The sequence below is a fragment of the Homo sapiens genome, chromosome 5 (genome assembly GCF_000001405.40).
Source record: "Homo sapiens chromosome 5, GRCh38.p14 Primary Assembly".
Classification (NCBI taxonomy): Eukaryota; Metazoa; Chordata; class Mammalia; order Primates; family Hominidae; genus Homo; species Homo sapiens.
This window is the reverse complement of record NC_000005.10, coordinates 137718067-137736356: the sequence shown is the minus strand read 5'-3', so window position 1 is coordinate 137736356 and position 18290 is coordinate 137718067. Positions and strand designations below refer to the sequence as shown.

General features: G+C 42.1%; 1 protein-coding gene across 2 annotated transcripts in view, besides 2 other annotated features; it reads left to right on the top strand.

Annotated features, from left to right (window-relative positions):
• Positions 1-669: an enhancer, noted in NCBI's record as "OCT4-NANOG-H3K27ac hESC enhancer chr5:137071377-137072045 (GRCh37/hg19 assembly coordinates)". NCBI's record gives its function as "activates a minimal SCP1, AML or CMV promoter by ChIP-STARR-seq in naive H9 embryonic stem cells {active_cell/tissue: H9 hESC(naive)}" and the evidence as "EXISTENCE:reporter gene assay evidence [ECO:0000049][PMID:30033119]".
• KLHL3 (kelch like family member 3) overlaps positions 268-18290 on the top strand; it is a 118590-nt gene continuing 100567 nt past the window's right edge. Inside the window, exons 1-2 of one of the 2 annotated variants that reach the window (NM_017415.3) lie at positions 268-724; positions 15773-15892. In NM_017415.3, coding sequence (NP_059111.2) covers positions 711-724; positions 15773-15892 — 134 coding nt within the window. In that variant the 5' untranslated portion in view covers positions 268-710. Of the gene's footprint in view, positions 725-15046; positions 15680-15772; positions 15893-18290 lie in introns of those variants that run through there. The other variant, NM_001257194.1, reaches the window with a different exon arrangement.
• Positions 2001-2070: an enhancer, noted in NCBI's record as "active region_23184". NCBI's record gives its function as "activates an Ori minimal core promoter by ATAC-STARR-seq in GM12878 lymphoblastoid cells {active_cell/tissue: GM12878}" and the evidence as "EXISTENCE:reporter gene assay evidence [ECO:0000049][PMID:35858748]".

The following is an 18290-nucleotide window of genomic DNA, read 5'->3' as shown; positions in this document are numbered from 1 at the left end:
GTGTTTTTCTCACTTCTGTCAGGTGCTTTTCCCTTAACTTCTCCCCATCTATCAGACACTCAGAGCTACTACAGAATTTGGGAGGAGGATTTGGAACATAAACTGTGACCTACAAGTGAATTTCCCCAGGTGGATGATAAACTCCACTGCAGGCCACAGAGGGGCCTCCTCATTCCAGCAATCTGGCCAGGCTGACAGACTCATAGCCTATGGGAGCAGGGGAGGGTGTAGGGGCCAGTATTTCTCGGGCTAGTGACGAACTGCCTGATTCTTTGCAGCCTAGACAGAGGAGGCAGGAGCCCCAGGGGCGGGCTAATCGCCTGGGCTGGGGATGCCTGGGCAGATGCAGAGGAAGCTGGAAAGGTGGCAGTGCACCTGGGTCGCTGGAGCTGCCGCCGTTCCTAGGAGACCAAGGAGCAGCAAGCCTGCGGGGGAGGGGGAGCAAGTGGGTTGCTGCTTTTAGCAGCTGAAAGGGCTGCAGGGAGCTCTGGGTAAGACATTTTCTGTTGCTGCTGCTTTTGCGGTAGAAGCTGCTGCGAGTAAGTCAGAGGAAGGAGGATTGAGAAGGGAGGAGGCTTCACTTGCAGCCATGCTGAATCACTGTTGCTGATCAGATTTCCCACTGGTCTGCTGGGAGAATCAAGAACAGAACTAGGATCCCCGAGTGCATACACAGTTCAGCAGCTACCACCCTGGCTGGGCCTCACACAATGGAGGGTGAAAGGTATGTATGTATAAGTGTGTGCTGTGTTGTGTGTGTATGTAAGTGTATGTGTGCTTGCGGTGCAGCCACCAGCTTTTGTGTTTGCATTGGCTAGGCAGAGTTGGAAGACCTGGCCACTGATGGATCTTAAAGGGCGCCAGAACAAGAGCAGGAAAGCCGCTTTCCAAATCACCCGTTCCAGGGCTTGAATCTCCAGAGATCTGGCTTCCGCAAAGGCAGGTCTGGGTTTGCTAGGCAGCGGAGCACCCTGAAAGAAGGGACTTCCTGGCTGGTGTTCGGGAATAGTTTCAGCACAGGCTGAATCAGATTGCCTTTCTCAGGCTGTTTCAAGGAGGCGTTTCCCTTTCCTGGCTCCTTTCCCGGGGTGTTTTTTCTTTGGTGGGGGGTTTTTGATGTCATAGTGGGGCTGACCTGACATAGTGTACTTGCATTTTCACGCAGGAGTGCTTGAATCTTCAGCAAGCATGCCATGCTGATGGCTGTGTGTGTGCGCGCGTGCACGCCGTGTATGCCTGTATACACACACATTCAGGGATGAAGGAGAGAAACCCAGTCAGATGATACTTGCTCTGAACTGAGTTTCATATTTGTATTGAAAAGTTTATGAGTGATACTGGAAGGTCTGTGCTTCCTCCATCAGGGATTTCTTTTGAAATAGGAACCAGCAGAAAAGATTTTAAGTACTTTTGTTGAGCTGGATCTAACTAGCGAGGCAGTTAGATCCTGGCAGGCACACACATCTAAATTTTTAAATTGTTATCTGAAGATCTGAATCTTTCATTGTGAAGGTGCTCAGCGCAGTGCAGAGGTGACATTCCTCTGTCTATGAAGTAAAATATCTCTTGAGTGCCAACCTCTTCATTCTTTGGTCTGCAGTTGGTAGAGTACGAGGCTTGCCATTTTATCTGAGGAGAGAAGACTGCAGGGAGGGGTCCGGCCATGGCAGTGCACCACTGAGGGGAAGCCTGCTGCTCCAGATTGCCAGTTTGATGCAGACAGTAACCATCTGGTTAACAATAATAGGCTCAACTAAGTCAACACTAGAGAGTATCTCAATGAACACTTTCCTTTTCATGAGTTGTTGTGACTTCTGTGTCTCACGGGGCACAGTGATGCCATTAAACATCTCTAGACCCTATTAGAACTAGCATGATGATTGGGTGTCATTCTTTTGTCTGTAGAGGCCCTGGGAACTGTGTTTCTTGATGACTCCCACAGGAAGAGCCTGGGACTGACTGTGCTGCTGGTGCATTCTCTTTCTGGGTGCTCTTTGCAACAGGAGTTTAGTGTTGAACTCTGTGAGGCCTGCTGAGCAGCAGAATATGAAGGCCTATTTCCTAAGTGTGGGGCAGAGGTGAGCAGTGTCTTTGGTCCCCAAAACAGTGTCCCATTGATCTGGTAGGTGGCAGAGAATGGGGTTGATGCGATGAAGGTTTAGAGATTCTGGGCCATGCCTATTTGCTTGACCTGTGGTGTAACTGGGGTTGAGAGGTCAGTGTGAGACTACCAGCAGCGGATCAAACAGTTTTGGGCACTGTGTTCCCAGTTCTGTGTTCAGAAATATAGTGAGTCCTTGCCCCTGTCCTGGGGCCTCTCAGCTGGGATGGCTGATGTCTATGGCTTTAGAACACCAGGTTGCACATGTTCTTGTACTTTTCCTCTGCTGAAGGCAGATGGTAGACAAGAAATCCAAACCGAGCAGCTTCCAATGTTCACCAGGTCACCCAGGTCATACCTTTTGTTCCTGCTCCAAGTCCAGCTTACCATGCCACGCGTTCAAGTCTTCTGAACTCTAACTCCTGTTCCCATTTCCACTGCTCACTCATATACCTACTGAGAATTCTGTTGATCTCTTTCATGATCACCCATCCTATACATTACTCCATCTAGCCTCATATCCTTAGCTCCCAGAGTTTCTTTTGCTGGATGTCTTTCCCTTCCAATTTTGCAAAAGTTATCTATCTATCAAGGTTATTCTAAAATTCTACTTTATCTTGGAAACTCAGCTTTTCTAGTCCTGGCTGATGTTCTTCGGAATTCTAATACCTCTGGTTTGTATCTCATAGTTGGACACTGAATAATAGGCCCACCAGATCTTTCAGTGCTTTTATTTCATATATCTTAGCAGTCCCCAGACTTGGAGACAGGTCCTCAAGGGCAAGGCTGGTGCCTTGTACTTCTAAATACCCCCATTGACTACTGCATGGGTACACAAATAGCAGGTGCTGAATAGTTATTAGCTGATTAGCTAATAACTTTTGTGTGAGGCTCTGATAACTAAAAAGAAAGTTGGTGAAAGAAGAGACTGAAGCCTTTGGCCAATAGCCTCATCTTTGGATATCAGCCTTATTATCTTAGCACGGGTAACTGACTTCAAGGAATGCTTTGAGGTAGGGGGAGAACAGAGGGAAGTAGCCTTGTTTTACAAGTTCCCTGGGAAATTGAGGTCCAGAGAAGCTGAGTGACTCGCCTAGGATCACATGTCCAACCTCCAGAGACTGGAGGGATCCTCAATCTGGTGCTCATTCCACACTTAACCTGCTGAATCTTAATCGGGGCTGTTTTTAAGCATTACAAAATTTCAACCAAGGGATTGCTAATGAACAATTTTTTTTTTCTTTGCCATGAGGGTATGAAAATACTTTCTACCTTGAAAGGCTATTAATTAAAAGCATGGACTTTGGAGTAACATAGACCTAGCGGTGAATCTGCTTTACAAACAGTGTGACCTTGAGTGTGTCACATTTTTTTCAGAACTAATTTTTCTCTTCTGTGTAAAGGGAATAATAACAGTACTTACACTTCATAGAGCTGTTGTGAAGATTAAATGGTACAATATGTGTAAGGTACCTAGTAAAGTTTTTTAGGCACAGAGTGAGTACTCAGTAGATGGTAGTTGCTATTATCATTGGTATCCACCTATTGCTATGTTGTACCCTATACTTTGCTGCTGGGTTACTAACCAAGGCATATTTTAGGACCTCTCTTTTTTTATCATCCAAAGCAGATTATGTAGAACCATTTCCATGAGGAAATGAGGGAGCTTATCAGGCCGTCATCTTGCTTCTTATCTAAAACTATCTCCTTATAGTAAGTTACCCCATAGGGCTTGGCATTTCTTCTTTTAGGTTTCACCAAGATCTACCTTAATCTTTCTTTTTATAGACAACCTGTGGCATCTAGTTGCCTCAGTGGTTGGAACCATGGGCTGGATGCATGTTTGTTCAGGCCAAAATCTCTTAAGAAGAACTTGTGAATTTGCACTAGCCTTTGCTGTATCTTTCTAGATTTCCAGGTCTCTCCTGGACCTTATGATGCTAAGTCTTCCCCAGTTCCCTCCATGGGAGAATCACTGTGGCTTGAACAGTCAGAGGAAGGTGATTTTGTCTTCTGTTTTGCAAAGGGAAAGGGTCTCTGGCTGTTAGCTATTACAATGATAAATTGTTTCTGTGTGAGTGTGAATGTAGAGAAGATAGATATCAGAAATGGCAGTTGCCCTTGCAATTGGGATTTTATTTCAGTTCTGGAAATCAGCCTTGTGGATAGCTTAAAATAAAATTTCAAAATAAATGGTTAGTCAGATTCATAGAGACAGAAAGTAAAATGGTTACCAGGAGCTGGAGGGAGGGAGGAGTGGGGAAGTTATTGTTTAATGGATAGAGAGTTTCAGTTTGGGAAGATGAAATAATTCTGGAGATGGGTGGTGGTGATGGTTGTACAACAGTATGACTGTACTTAAAAACGGTTAAAATTATACATTTTATGTTACATCTATTTTACCACAATAAAAAACATTCAGGCCCAGACTGTGGCAGATCTGCAAGAGTTACAGAGCACCACAACTTTGGAAGAAGCATCATAAAAAGGGGAAGTTAATTGTCTATTTTTCTTAAAATTGTGATTATTTTCTTCATCAGAAGCACAGAGATGCCCCTGCTTGAGAGGGGCACCATGTACCGGGCACTATGCTGTGATTTTGTGTGAGGTGTCCTCAGAGGATGGTTCTTAATGGCTGGTTTTTATGAAGGAGAGTCTGTTTTTGGACCTCAGGGAACTTCTGAGCAAAAGGAGCTCATCTATTTACCCTTGATCCAGGAACGACAGATAGAGAATATTTTCTGAGGAGACAAGACTTAGAAAGCCAGTACACTTTAAATGTTGAGTTTTGTAATGTCAGGTTGAATGCTGGCAAGACCCAGGGAAGAGCAAGTGTTGAGCAACCTAGCCTTTTTTCTGTTCCCAGCGGCAAGTCACTTAGTCCTCCCCCAACCTTAGAAGTCAGGGATAGAAAATTCTGTAAAAAGTTTTGGGCATCACTGCTGCCTGAAGCAGATGTGCACGCATTTCAACCATGATAATTGAAACCAAATTTTTCCATTTTGGAAATACTTTTTGACAAAGTAAGGTTTTCAACTGCAAAAACAAAGTCAGGGAAAGAAACCTCTTGATATCCCTGCACCCAGATTTGGATTTTTAGGATTTTGCTTGCTAAGTTTTGAACTGGTAAAACAGATCTGGACAAGATAATTTTTGTGTAAGTTTTCCTAAAGCAAGTGCTTTATTTGATGAAATTTGCCATCATCAAACTGACCTATTTTTTTTTTTCAATTTCTGGATGAATGTTCAAACTAGGTTAAACGGAATAGAGCACTAATAAACCATGTAAAAAATAGCTTGAACATGTGTTGGTAGATTTTTTTTTCTGTTAAATAAGTTCAATGCCTCTCAGGTCAGAGATCTAACTTTTTATCATTTATGAGGATTTTCAGAGTCTTAGCACAACTTTCCTGGACTTTTCATTTTCACTTATGAAAGTATATCATAGCCACTATCAAAACCACACACATACAAGGGCTCAGCTCTCCTATTCAAACCAAACATAAGCTTGGCTTCCAAAATGCCACATAATGAGGAGCATGTTTTCTTTTAGTCTTTCTCTCTTCTTGTCTAATTCTATCTGTCTGTGTAAAATGTTTTACATTTTTACACAGCCCACTTAAGAGTTTTCCCCTTGAGTTTTAAAGAAAGCAGTTTGTGACTTGGGGTTTTAGGAATGTGATTAGTAACATACCTGTTCTTGAGCTTGTTTATGAAGGAGCATGTTACAAGAATGACAGCATCTGCTGGTCATCTTTGGTGAATCATGATTGGCTTGTGTGAAGGCCCCAGTGTGGAAACTCCAAGTTCAATACAATTAATAACACTGACTCCAGTACACACTGCAATTTCCCATAATCAGAAGTGAAGTAGTGCTATATCACAGGTCCTAGGAGATTTGGTCTTTTTTCATTTGGCCTGGTTTGGTTGCACAAGGAAGAACGTCAGAGAGTGGGACATGAAGGGTTGTGCCTCACTTGGCCTGATGGGCTATGGACATTATCCCGAGTCAGTGGACATTGTTATTAAAAGCCCAGGCCTTGGAGTCAGATAGACCTGGGTTTCAGTGCCAGTTCTGCACTTACTAGTTATGTGGGACTTTTGGGAAGACTTTATGTCTGTACCTTAAGAGATAATGCTACCTACTTCCTAGGGTTGTTCTGAAGATAAAATGGAGGTAAGGTGCTTTAACATACCCTCAACTTTCAGGAAATGTTAACTCGATCTGTACCTTACTAATGCATGTGTTCTACGTGTCCATGTGGGCTATTATAGCGATTCAGCCTAATTCTATGAACTGAGGTGGCACTGCTGAAAGAGGATGAAGAGTATGGGGCTCTCTGGTAACCTGTGTGTAAATGGTACTTTGTGATAGCAGGACTGCACCACCAAGTCCTGAATCCTGCTGGCTGGACATCTTCAAGAGTCAGGTTCTTCATTAATCCAGAAGTAGAAATCTAAGTTTGATCATTTTGGTCTTGAACTTTAGGATTGGGATACTTACTAGATCTGCAGTTTGACCAGAGTGCCAGGGGCTCAGAAATCCTATCTATATAGGGTCCCATTGCTGTCCAGAGTTGGAGAAGCAGAGTCATGCCAATGACCTCATGAGAACCTAAAATACAATAGTCAACATGTCATCAGTTTATTGATTTGCAGTAAAATATTACTGGCAAGATATTCCTGAGGGCCTGCAACCACATTCTACCTCTCTGAAGGACAACCACGGGGGAGGCCAAACTGGTCAAAAGGCTGCAGAGTAAACTAGGGACTGAGTTATGGCATTGGAGTATTTACAGACTTCAAACTCCACCATGAGGATCTGACCTGAGGCTGAACCAGCTGACGATATCTGATGATTAAATCACTTTCCTAGACAGAGTGTGATGGGTTGGACCGAGGGCTTTCTTCTCTGTCTGATTCTTAGTTTTTGGTTATTCCTTTCTAAATGACACTTTCTTTGTTGAGAGTTTTTAATGCATTCAGCACAGCTTTGCCCTGGCTCACAGTTGTTTTGCCTTCATTGAGTGGTTTTGCCTCTTTATTCCATCTCATCTCTAGCTTGAACATAATGTGCTTGGGCCTCTTGTATGTGGCCAGTATCAGCTCATGACTTCTGAATTTTATTTGCATCTCTTGGAGACCTTTAGAGGTGAAACAGATCATAACCTTTAACAGCATTTCTCAGACTCCACTTTCCTTCCCTCTACATTCTCGCACACCCAAGATGTTCTGGAACTCCTCATTTGTTTTTTCTTTTCTTTTTTTTTTTTTTAACTTTTATTTTAGGTTCAGGGGTACACGTGCTGGTTTGTTATATAGGTAAACTTGTGTCACAGAGGTTTGTTGTACAGATTAGTACCTGTCATCACCCAGGTAGCCAATAGTTATTTTTTCTGCTCCTCTTCCTCCACCCACCCTCCATCCTCAAGTAGGCCCTAGTGTCTGTTGTTCCCTTCTTTGTGTCCGTGAGTTCTCATCACTTGGAGCTCCTCATTTGTTGGATTCCCCCAAACATTGCTGCACAATCAGCCTGCTTGGAGACTCTTCTATCCCCTGCCTTTCTAGCATGTTTTTTAGTATCCTTTCCTTTCCATTCACTGCCTCCATTTTCCTCAGCAATAGAAAGAGTCTAAGAACTGACACAGTAAGCAGTAACCTATCTCACTTTCTTCCCTCTTCTCTAGTTGTTGCTGGCTTTCTCTCACTCCCATCCTCCTGATTCTGTGTCATCAATGCAGGGGACTGGGCTGCCTAAGAAAGTACTCCTCTCTGAACGTGAGGTGGAGGGGTCATGGAGAGAAAGTTGAGGGGGACAAAGCCATCAGTATTTTAATGAAGGGGAGTGAGGAAAGCTACAGTGGTCAGTAGTTAAACCTAATTTACTTATCTACCTATTAATTTACTCAGTAATCATTCATTGAGCACCTGTCATGTGACAGAAGCTAAGAATTCAGAGGCAACTAAGATAACTGTCTTGGTTCTCATGGAGAGCTCACAATCTAGAGGGGGCAGCAGTGTGCTGGAGTCAGCACTCACCCACTTGGAAAAGCTGTTTGTTAAATTTTCAGGAATTTTCGGAGCCAGTTATTAAATATAGCCATTATTAACAAATTATGTAACTTATAAATTATATTAAAAATGAATGTAATAAATACCCCAAACTCATCACTTTCTAATTATTTTTTACTGTAATCTTCTAGGGCTTTGAGGTTATGTCTATTGTGTCTTGGTGTAGAAATACTATACAGTGATATGATGGTGTGCTGTTGCACATCTCTTCCCAAATCTCATGTTCGGTGGCATCATGTTGGTAGCTTAAAATCTGCCATGGTGGGAGTATTTACAGTCTGGAAATTGGCAAATGTTACAAATCAGGGCTCCTTTCCTCCCAATCAACTGTTAAACATTTACCAGCACACACTGTGTGGGGCAGACAGATAAGTAAGAGGTAATTAGAATACAATACAGAAGGAAGCACAGTACTGTGGGAATACAGAACTGGGGAAACTAACCTAGTTTCCCACTAGATTTTAACTAATCTAGTGAGTAGTGGAGAATGAGAGGGAAGGCTTCAGGGAAGAGGCTTGAAGGCTGGTAGGAACTAGCTAGACACGGGAGAATGAGTGGGGAATAAGATAGAACAGTTTTCTAGTGAGACAAAACTTCACAAGGCAGAGAGCCTAGTGTATTTTGGCTATTGCAAGTATTTTAGTATTACGGTAATAAGAAGTCTTCAGGGCAACGATGGGATTAAGGGCCAGGCTAGGTCCCTGAGATTTATTCTGAATGCAGTGAGGAATCAGTGAGGCTTCATGTAGAACATGCCTGGAACACATTGACATTTTGGAAAAGTCCCTCTGGAGTCTGGGAGGAGGTTATTATAATAATCCTGGCAAGAGACAATGATGACCTGGAATGGGGTTGTAATGGTAGCGAAAGTGAGAAGGAAATGGGGTGCAGGGATATTAATGGACATAGGATTGATTCGATTTATGGCTGTATGTGAGGAGTGAGAGAGAGAGAGAGGGAGGAAGATATCAAGGATAACACCCCAGTTTTTGGCTTGGATAGGTGATTGGGTGGTTGGTTATGCCTCTGAGATAGAGAATACAGAAAGAGTAGCAGGCTTAAGGGAGGGTGGGGAACATAAATTTTGAATAAGTATGAATTACCTGTGTAAAATCTAATTAGGGGAGTCAAATAAGACATTGGATATGTGGATCTGTAATTTAGAGGATAGAGGAGGGCAAGAAAGAAGGCTTTGGAAGGTGCTGTGCTAAAAGAGGGCCTAATTTTTAGAGCTTATATATTTTTATTTATAACTTTTATAATTACTATTTTATGTATATTTTATTTATAATTTAACTCTGAAGGCCAACTCTGCTTTCATTAAAAAATAAAAGTGTTGGTCAGACTATCCCCTTCTACTCTACCATCTAACGCTTGTAAAGACAAGTGAAGGGTCTTCAGGTAGAGTTCAGATGACAAATATGTCATGAGGACCTACTGTGGGCATGACCTCATGCTGGGCAGGCTAAGCTATACAGAGTCCTCAGACACATGTTCCTTGCCCTCTGGGTATGTTGAATCTAGTGTGAGGCAGGTAGGTGGTTGGATTTGTACCCTGAAAAAGTAATCAGGCACAAGGCAGAATTCTATGTGCCAGTTGAGTTACAGGCCAGAAATACTACAGGAATTCAGAGAAGGAAGAGCTCACTTAGAACTGATGTATCCCGAGGGTTTCATGGAGGAGGTAAAGTTTAATTGGTCCTCAAAGAACAGGTATTTAGATTATGATACAGGGAAAGAGAAGGGAAATATAGGTGTCTGCAGTGAACGGTTCATCTGCTTGGCACATAATAGGTACTTAGTAAATATTTGAGTAAGTGAGAGAGGTAAGGCTGGCATTTAGGTTCAGTCCAGGTCAAGGAGGTCCTTGAATACTAGTCAAGAATCATGACTTTATCCTGTAGACTGATGATTTTTCAGCTTTTTAGCTATAGAGTCCTTTGAAAGGAAATTTTATGTGGACCCTCAACATATAGAACAAATGGAGGCAGAGGGCTGTGACTGAAGCTTCAGCTCATAAACCTCACAGCCCCGAAGAGACCTGTGTGCAGTGAGGATCTGAAAGTCATGGTCAGATGACATTTTAGAAGGATCAGTTTGGCGATGGTGTGCAGGAAATACTTGGAGGGAGAGTATCTAGAGTGGGGAACAGCAGGTGGGAGGCCACTGTAATAGTCTAAGTCAGGGGAAAAGAGAAGCTGAAAGCCCAGAAAAGAAGGGCCAACTATGTCTATCCTTATGGCTATGAAGCTTGACTGTCTCACATGTATGTCTTCCTGAATGGGGTCAGTGGGTATCTGTGAGTGTGAGATAAGTCAGAACCAATTTGCAACACCCTTTCTGTGGGCTGTTGAACCATCCACTGCAGTGGGTTCATCATGGCACCAGTAGTGGTTCATATAAGCAAGTTTACTAGTAACAGGCCAGTGTGGAAATTAATTAAAGTATTGAGCCAGATATCTGGTGCTTTGACAAAGTTGACTAGATTCATGTGTTCTGATTCTGCTAGAGTTTATTTAGAAAATGGCTTAGATGATCATTTCTGTATATTTCTATAGCAAAGAGCAGAGATTCTGCCTGGCCCATACTTTCTCACTACATCTACAATTGTTGACCCATTTGAATCTTAAATATGGCTGCTCAACTTGAATGTTGCTGGAACCCTGGACACTGGGATACAGATGAAGGTTCCTTTGTGTAGTAGCTTGAGCTGCAGGTCTGGTGGGAGGGGCACATATGAATTAACACTGACTATAGTTTTTAGTAGAATCTGGGGCCAGTTTTTGCTCTTGGAGAAATCAACCATTTTATGCTTAGAGTAAGGGCATTTACTGTGAAATGCTTTTCAACAGAAAACATCTCATGGCTGAGTCTGCCTGGAAAATTTGTGTGCGTGCACGTGTGTGTGTGTGTGATTTTGGCTGGGTCTGGGTAGGGTGAAAAGTATGGTGTTAGACTTGAACAAGATAGTGGGAATATACCTTAGTGTGGTCTGTTTCACAGGCGAGGAGAGGGGATCCACTAGCCTTATTTGGAAATAAGAACTGAGAATGCTTGGGATTGGGACTTGATAGGGTGGGGATGGGGCAATCTATTGAGGTTTAAGTAGTTAAGATCTGGAATGAATGGAGGGAAAAAGGTTTAGGGGATGAAATGGTAAGATCTAGCAACTCTGTGCCTGGGCATGTGACCTTAGGTTGAGACATATGTATATGTGTGTGCATTTATGTACATGCATGCACTATATTGCTGGAGGGTATAGGTTGTGAGCTTCAAGTACAGGATACCTAAACTCAGATCCCATCTCTACCACTTATTATTTGTACAGTCTTGTGAAGAATTTTTGAACTTCTCTGGGCCCTCAGATGTTCTTTTCTTAATTTCTTGTTCTCTGGAAGGTTAGAGTTGCCAAGAAGCGTGTACCTTCCAGAGACCAGGGACTCAGAGTCTCCTCCAAACTTCCTGTGTCTTTTCATGGAGGAGCAGGGGAAGAAAGGAACCTTGGCTTCCTTCAGATGTCAAGCCTTGCCTGTGCATCAAGAGTGGAAAGGGCTCTGGATGGATTTGGGGAAACTGATGTCTTTCCCTAGCCAGCCCTATGGTCATCAGCAAGTCACTTGCTCTTTTACGGAGGCTCTAGTGTGAATTATATTTTGTTGAACATTGATCCTCTGATAATAGGCAATCTGTGTTTGAGACCTTTTGGTAAACACAACATTGGTAAACACAACAGGGGATACATCATTATTGGACCATTCTGGAAAGTGCAAAGAGCAACACACCAGAAGAGTGAGCTTTCCTGTTCACTAGCCACACTGGAGATTGTGTCAGTGCTTCTAAAATGGCTCTTTTTAGTTTATATATCTTTGAAGTGAAGCTAATAATATCTGTTCACTAGGCTTTTCCGTGCTTTAATCTTACTAGTTCCCTGTCAAGAACCTTCAGTGGTTTCCTGATCTATACCAAATTATGCTTTCTCATTCTGGCTTTTAAGTCTCTCCACAGTTTGAAGACAATATTTATAATGAATACTTGTAGAGTATTTTACAGTTTATAGATTTATCCGAAGGATGCAAGTATGGTTTAGTATTAGAAAATATATGTGTCATTCATCACATTACAAGATTAAAGGAAAGACATCGCTTTCCCCAAATCCATCCAGAGCCCTTTCCACCCTTGATGCACAGGCAAGATTAAAGGAAAAAACCCATATGAACATCTCATTAGATACACAAAGACATTTGATAAAATTTAGCATTACTTTATGACTTAAAAACTCTTAATAAAAATAGAAGGGAATTTTCTTAATCTGACAAAAATCATTTACAAAAATCCTGTAACAAACATACATAATGGGGGAACATTAGAAACATCTTTGAAAGCAGGAATATGACAATACTATTCATTAGCATCCTTTCTGTTTGACATTGTGTGGCCATCCTAGCCAGTGCAAACTTTTTTCAAAAAAGAAATTAGAGGCCTAAGAATTTGATAGAAGAAAAATCTCTGGCATTATATGCAGATAATATGACTGTCTACATAGGACACCTAATTTATGTTCAAATAGTTAGGAATAATAGGAACATTGGCAATGGCTGGATATATGGTGAATTTGCAAAAACTACATTTTATAAACTATAACAATCAGAAAACATAATTTAAAAATACATCATTTCTATTACAAAAGAGCAATAAAAACCATAAAGTACTTAGGAATAAATCTAATCAAACGTGTAAGGTCTTCATACAGAAAAATCTAAAAGTCTGAGTGATATTAAAGAGGACTTAAATGGAGAGATATCCTATGTTCATGGATAGGAGGGCATAGTATCAGAAAAATGATGGTTCTATCCAAATTGATCTATAAATTCAATGCAGTTTTTTAATCAAAATCCCATTCGAGTTCTTTATGGAATTTGACAAGCTAGTGAAGACACTTCTCAAAAATAATAATAGGACTGGGGACTTTCCCTGTCAGATATCAGACCTTATTATAAAGCTACAGAAATCATGTGGTACTGTTACAGAGACAGACAAACTGACCAGTGGAATAAGTTAGTAAGTCAAGAAAGAAATCTCTTTGTATCTGGAACTTTAATATGTGACCTAAGATGGCATGACAGATGCATGAGAAAAATAAAAAGTTTTAAATACATCAAACTTATGGAGAAAATTAGATCCCTATTTCATATCCTGACATAAATATCAGTATCAGGGCCTGGCACAGTGGCTCACGCCAGTAATCGCAGCACTTTGGGAGGCCGGAGTGAGCAGATCACTTGAGGCCAGGAGTTCGAGAACAGCCTGACCAACATGGTGAAACTCCCCATTTCTACTAAAAATACAAAAATTAGCCGGTTGTGGTGGTGCACGCCTGTAATCCCAGCTACTTGAGAGGCTAAGGCACGAGAATCACTTGAACCCAGGAGGCGGAGGTTGAGCCAAGATCTGCACTCCAGCCTGGATGACAGAGTGAAACTATCTCAAAAAAAGAGAAAAAATAAGTATCAGATGAAATAAGGGCTTAAATACCAAAAGCAAAAATGTTAAACCTTTAGTAGAACATAGAAGTTAACATTTTTCTAGCTTTATAGTAAAGAAAGACACCATAAAATAAATTATGCTTATGGAATAGCTCATCTTTTGAAGAAAATTTTCATCTTTGCTGGTTGCTTCCCCTCTCTGATTCAAGTCTCAAGCCACATTTTCTGGCTTGAGACTTTCTTTACCTGCTTTAAACACACAACTCTAAGCATCTTCCTTTGTGCATATCTTCCTCTGCTCAGCTAACTTCCTTGTGCACAGAATCCAAACAGCCCCAAAGTTCAGTTATTTGTGGCTTACGTTTGCATGATGAACTGATGGTGGGGAAGGGAGCCAAAAGAGGAGTCTGTTACGGTCAGACAAGCTGTGGGTCTGCCACGCTGGTCGTATTTGAATGTTCCAATAGTTACGAATTCCAGTGTGAGATCTATAGTGATTCTCAGGCCTCTGAAATATACTCTAAAGCATAGAAGCCTCTTTCTCTAGCCAGTTTGCAAAGTTAAGTGGTAGCATGGATAGAGGCTCACTAGGGAAAATCAAAGGAGAGTACCCTCATTGTCCTAGAGTTGGAGTGAACTATGGGTCCTCAAATCTATACAAGTGGAGAAGGTTCTGTTTTCCTAGTAGCAAAGCAAAGCTTAGCCTAGATCAAACCGGTAACTCCAAGGTCTCACACTACTCCTGGGAGCTGAATAGTTTCACCAATTTGGGGAGAAACACCTTTCCTTGCTCATTCTTTTGATTCCTTATTTCCACCTTCCATAAAGTTGAAAGATGTTGCTCAGGAGTTGTTGGGTAACTAGCTGGCACCCCACAGGGATTTGAGTATTTTGTCTTTCTCTTTCACTTTTTCAAGAGACAGAGTTTTGCTCTGTTGCCCAGGCTGGGGTGCAATGGCATGAAACCCCTGGGCACAAGCAGTCCTCCTGCTTCAACCTCCTGAGTAGCTGGGACTACAGGCATGAGCCACCATACCCTTGTCTCTTGATTTCAGTACAGAAGGCATTGAGATTATGGTTGACTCTTGCTAGTTTCTACTTACTCAGTTAGTCTACATAGATAGCCTTTCTTTCCATAATACTTATAATCCTTTGTCTTTCTATGGGATTACAGTTTCCCAAAAGCTTTCGCTGTTGTTCGACTGCTTCCTGGAGTGTAGCCAATGTGATTTTTCTAAAACACAGATTTGTTTACCTGCTTTCTGTCCTACTTTGTTTAAAACCCTTTGATGGCTTCTCATTATTTCAGAAAGAAATCCAAACTTCTTAGCTTTGCTTACATGACACTTAAAAGGCTGCTTGGTCTTCTAGTTTTTTCTCTTGATATTCCCTCTTGTGCTCTCCTCTAGTTTTACTGAACTGCCAGTACTTTGAACACACTTTGTGCTTTTTCTCCTCCAGGTCTTTGTGCATACTGTTTCCTCTGCCTGGAATACTCTTCTTTCTCTTTACCTGACTCGTTTCTGCTCTTACTTCAAGTCTCAGATTCTAGGAAGCTTTCCATCAACCTGCTATCACTGGGACGAGTTGGCCATCCCCTGTGCTTCTGTAGCTCCTATGAAATCATAATAGTTGAAATGTGATGTTTAAATGTTTACTTGGCATTCTCCTCTACTGAACTCTAAGCTTTGTGAGGGTAGTGATGGTGGCTTTGCCTATTGTTTTGTTTCCCTTAAATCTAAACGCAGTGCCTGGCACATAGTAGCCTCCAGTAAATGCTTGTTTAATGAACAAACAAACCTGTGAAGTGAGTGATAGAGTGCTTAGTCCCCTTCAGTTTTCAGGATGGAGAGATGGAGAATAAGGACCTCACACAAAATCACACAGTACTTGGTGGAAGAAGCTGAGCTATGACCTGCCTTCCTTCAGAGGAATGCACTTTGCTTTGGAAGATATGAAGAAATTCCCAGTACATTGTCTTTCCTATTGGGTCTGTGTGAGAACAGGCTGATAGATGCCTCTGGTAGGTGGGTAAATGCATGGGCTTTTGGCAGTTGGATGAATGGGTTTACCAATGAGTGATTCTCTTTCCCTCCCTCTTCCTTCCTGTTCACAGTGTCAAGCTGAGCTCCCAGACTCTGATACAGGCTGGGGATGATGAGAAGAACCAGAGGACGATCACTGTCAACCCTGCCCACATGGGGAAAGCATTCAAGGTTATGAATGAACTGCGGAGGTACTTTTTCTATCTTGTCCGTGCCCTTGCAGAAGGAACTTGTCCATGAGCTTCATCAAGGACTGAGAACAGAAGTCAGAACATGACCACCTAGGGAATTCTGACTCTTTCCATCCATTCTTAGTCACTTGAGTTCCCCTTTCTTTCTCTCTTTTTTTTTTTTTGAGACGGAATCTTGCTCTGTCATCCAGGCTGGAATGCAGGTGGCATGATCTTGGCTCACTGCAACCTCCACCTCCCGGGTTCAAGTGATTCCCCTGCCTCAGCCTCCCGAGTAGCTGGGATTACAGGCGCATGCCACCACGCCCAGCTAATTTTTGTATTTTTAGTAGAGACGGGGTTTCACCATGTTGGTCAGGCTGGTCTTGAACTCCTGACCTTGTGATCTGCCTGCCTCAGCCTCCCAAAGTGCTGGGATTACAGGCGTGAGCCACCGCGCCCGGCAGGTTTCCCCTTTCGAACTCTGCTTGAGACAGAATGACTTTGCCAGAAAACTGTCTTTCCTTTGTATGTATTTAACACCTATCATTTTAATGATTAATCACAGGGGAAAAATCCTTTATGGTTACAGCAAGTCTATTCATAAACTTGATTTCCAACAGAACGAGCTGCTTGAAAACCAATAATAGAATGATTGCAACACCCACACACAATTGCAGATTAAAGACTGGATGTCATGTATTTTCTTCTGGTTTTTCACTCTCTCTTTCACTGGTCTGAACTTAGGTTGGCAAGACAGCCACATCGGTGGAAGAATACCTGGCTCCTTAAATGTAAAGAGAGAAATGAAATGTGAATATACTCATCCTCTCTGAGCTAATAGTGAGGGGTACACAGGCTATTTGTAAGGCCAATGTGCATGTTTGACAAGCTTGTTGCAAGGCAGGTTCGGGGCTCTGAACATGTGTTTCTGTACATGTTTTTTTGTACAAAGCCTGTGGACACGATCTCTTCTTTACCAGAGAGCTCAGAAGCTTCCTTTGCCCATGCAGTTATTTACTGCCTACTTCATCCTGTTGTGAGGTGTAATTGTTTATTTCATCTTTTTTCTGTAGCTCATGAACTCTCTGAAGGCAGAGGCAACTTTTGAGTAATTTTTATCTCTAGCACCTGGCACTTCATAGGAGCTTCTATTGATTCACCAAAGATGCCCAGAGGCACTGGCTAGGCCCTGGAATGGGTCATTGGGGTACAAAGTAAAAAATATAAATAGATCAATGAAAATAATCTTTCTATAGTACAAATAGGTATTATGATGGAGGAATGCATCCAGTGCCTGACAGGTGGTAGGTACGCAATAATTATTTGTTTCTTAAAGAGGGCTACAGAAGCAAGTATGACAGGTGGGAACTTTGGAGAAGAGGGTTGATGCTTGAGCTGAATTTTGAAGGACAAATAAGAGTTAGAGAAATGAAGGGTAGTGGGGATAGGGAGAAGCCTTCCAGGCAGAGAAAATGGCACATAGCCAAAGAAGTGTGTGTTGAGTGGGGAGTTGAACTACTTTTCAACAAAAGTTCTACCTGATTCTATGTTTGTTTTCTTATGTCTCCTTTCTACAGGGCCTAGTCTTTGGCATTAATAACCAAGTTAAATTAAATTTGTCTTATGCTCCACTGCTCAATTTTTATCAGGCCTCCTGCCAGATTTCCTGGAAGCTCTGCCCATAGCTGTCTTAGGCATCAGGCTGTGCTGATGTCCATGCTTATGGGCATGGTTCTCTTGTTAACTGAAGAATTTGTCTTGTCTTTCCTAGACACTATTGAAATTCCTCATTTAGTTCTTTTGGGTATGGCTTGTGCCCTTTGTCTGATTTAGGAGTCTTTCACCAGGCCTTATTTTGCCTGGTATTATAGTCAACTCCAGTGATGCCTGAAAGGGAGAACTTAGGAATAGATATGTACACAAGATTCCCTGCACCCTTACTTTCTATTACTAACCTCTTTTCTTTGTTTGTTTATTTTTTTAAAGAGACAGAGTCTTGGTCTGTCACTTAGGCTGGAGTGCAATGTCCCAGTCACAGCTCACTGTGACCTTGAACACCTGAGTTCAAGCAGTCCTCCCACCGTGGCCTCCCAAAATGTTGGGATTATGGCCATGAGCCACCATGCCCAGCCCCCTTTTCTTTAAATAATTTTTTAAAAAGACATCCTGAGTTCTCATTACTTCTGTTACAAGTTACTAGGTTTTTCTCTTTCCCCAAAAGCATTGACTTAGATTTAGCCATCTCTAACAGTCCTGCTTCTTCTTCTCTTTTGTATAATTCAGCATTTGTCAAACTCTGTTCTGAGAAATGCTAGTTCCCTTAAGATGCTCTGTGAGAAAAAAGAGCTCTGTGCCCCAATGAGTTTGAAGAATGCTATATACTGTACCCCTCTCTGAGGTTCATAATGCATACTGG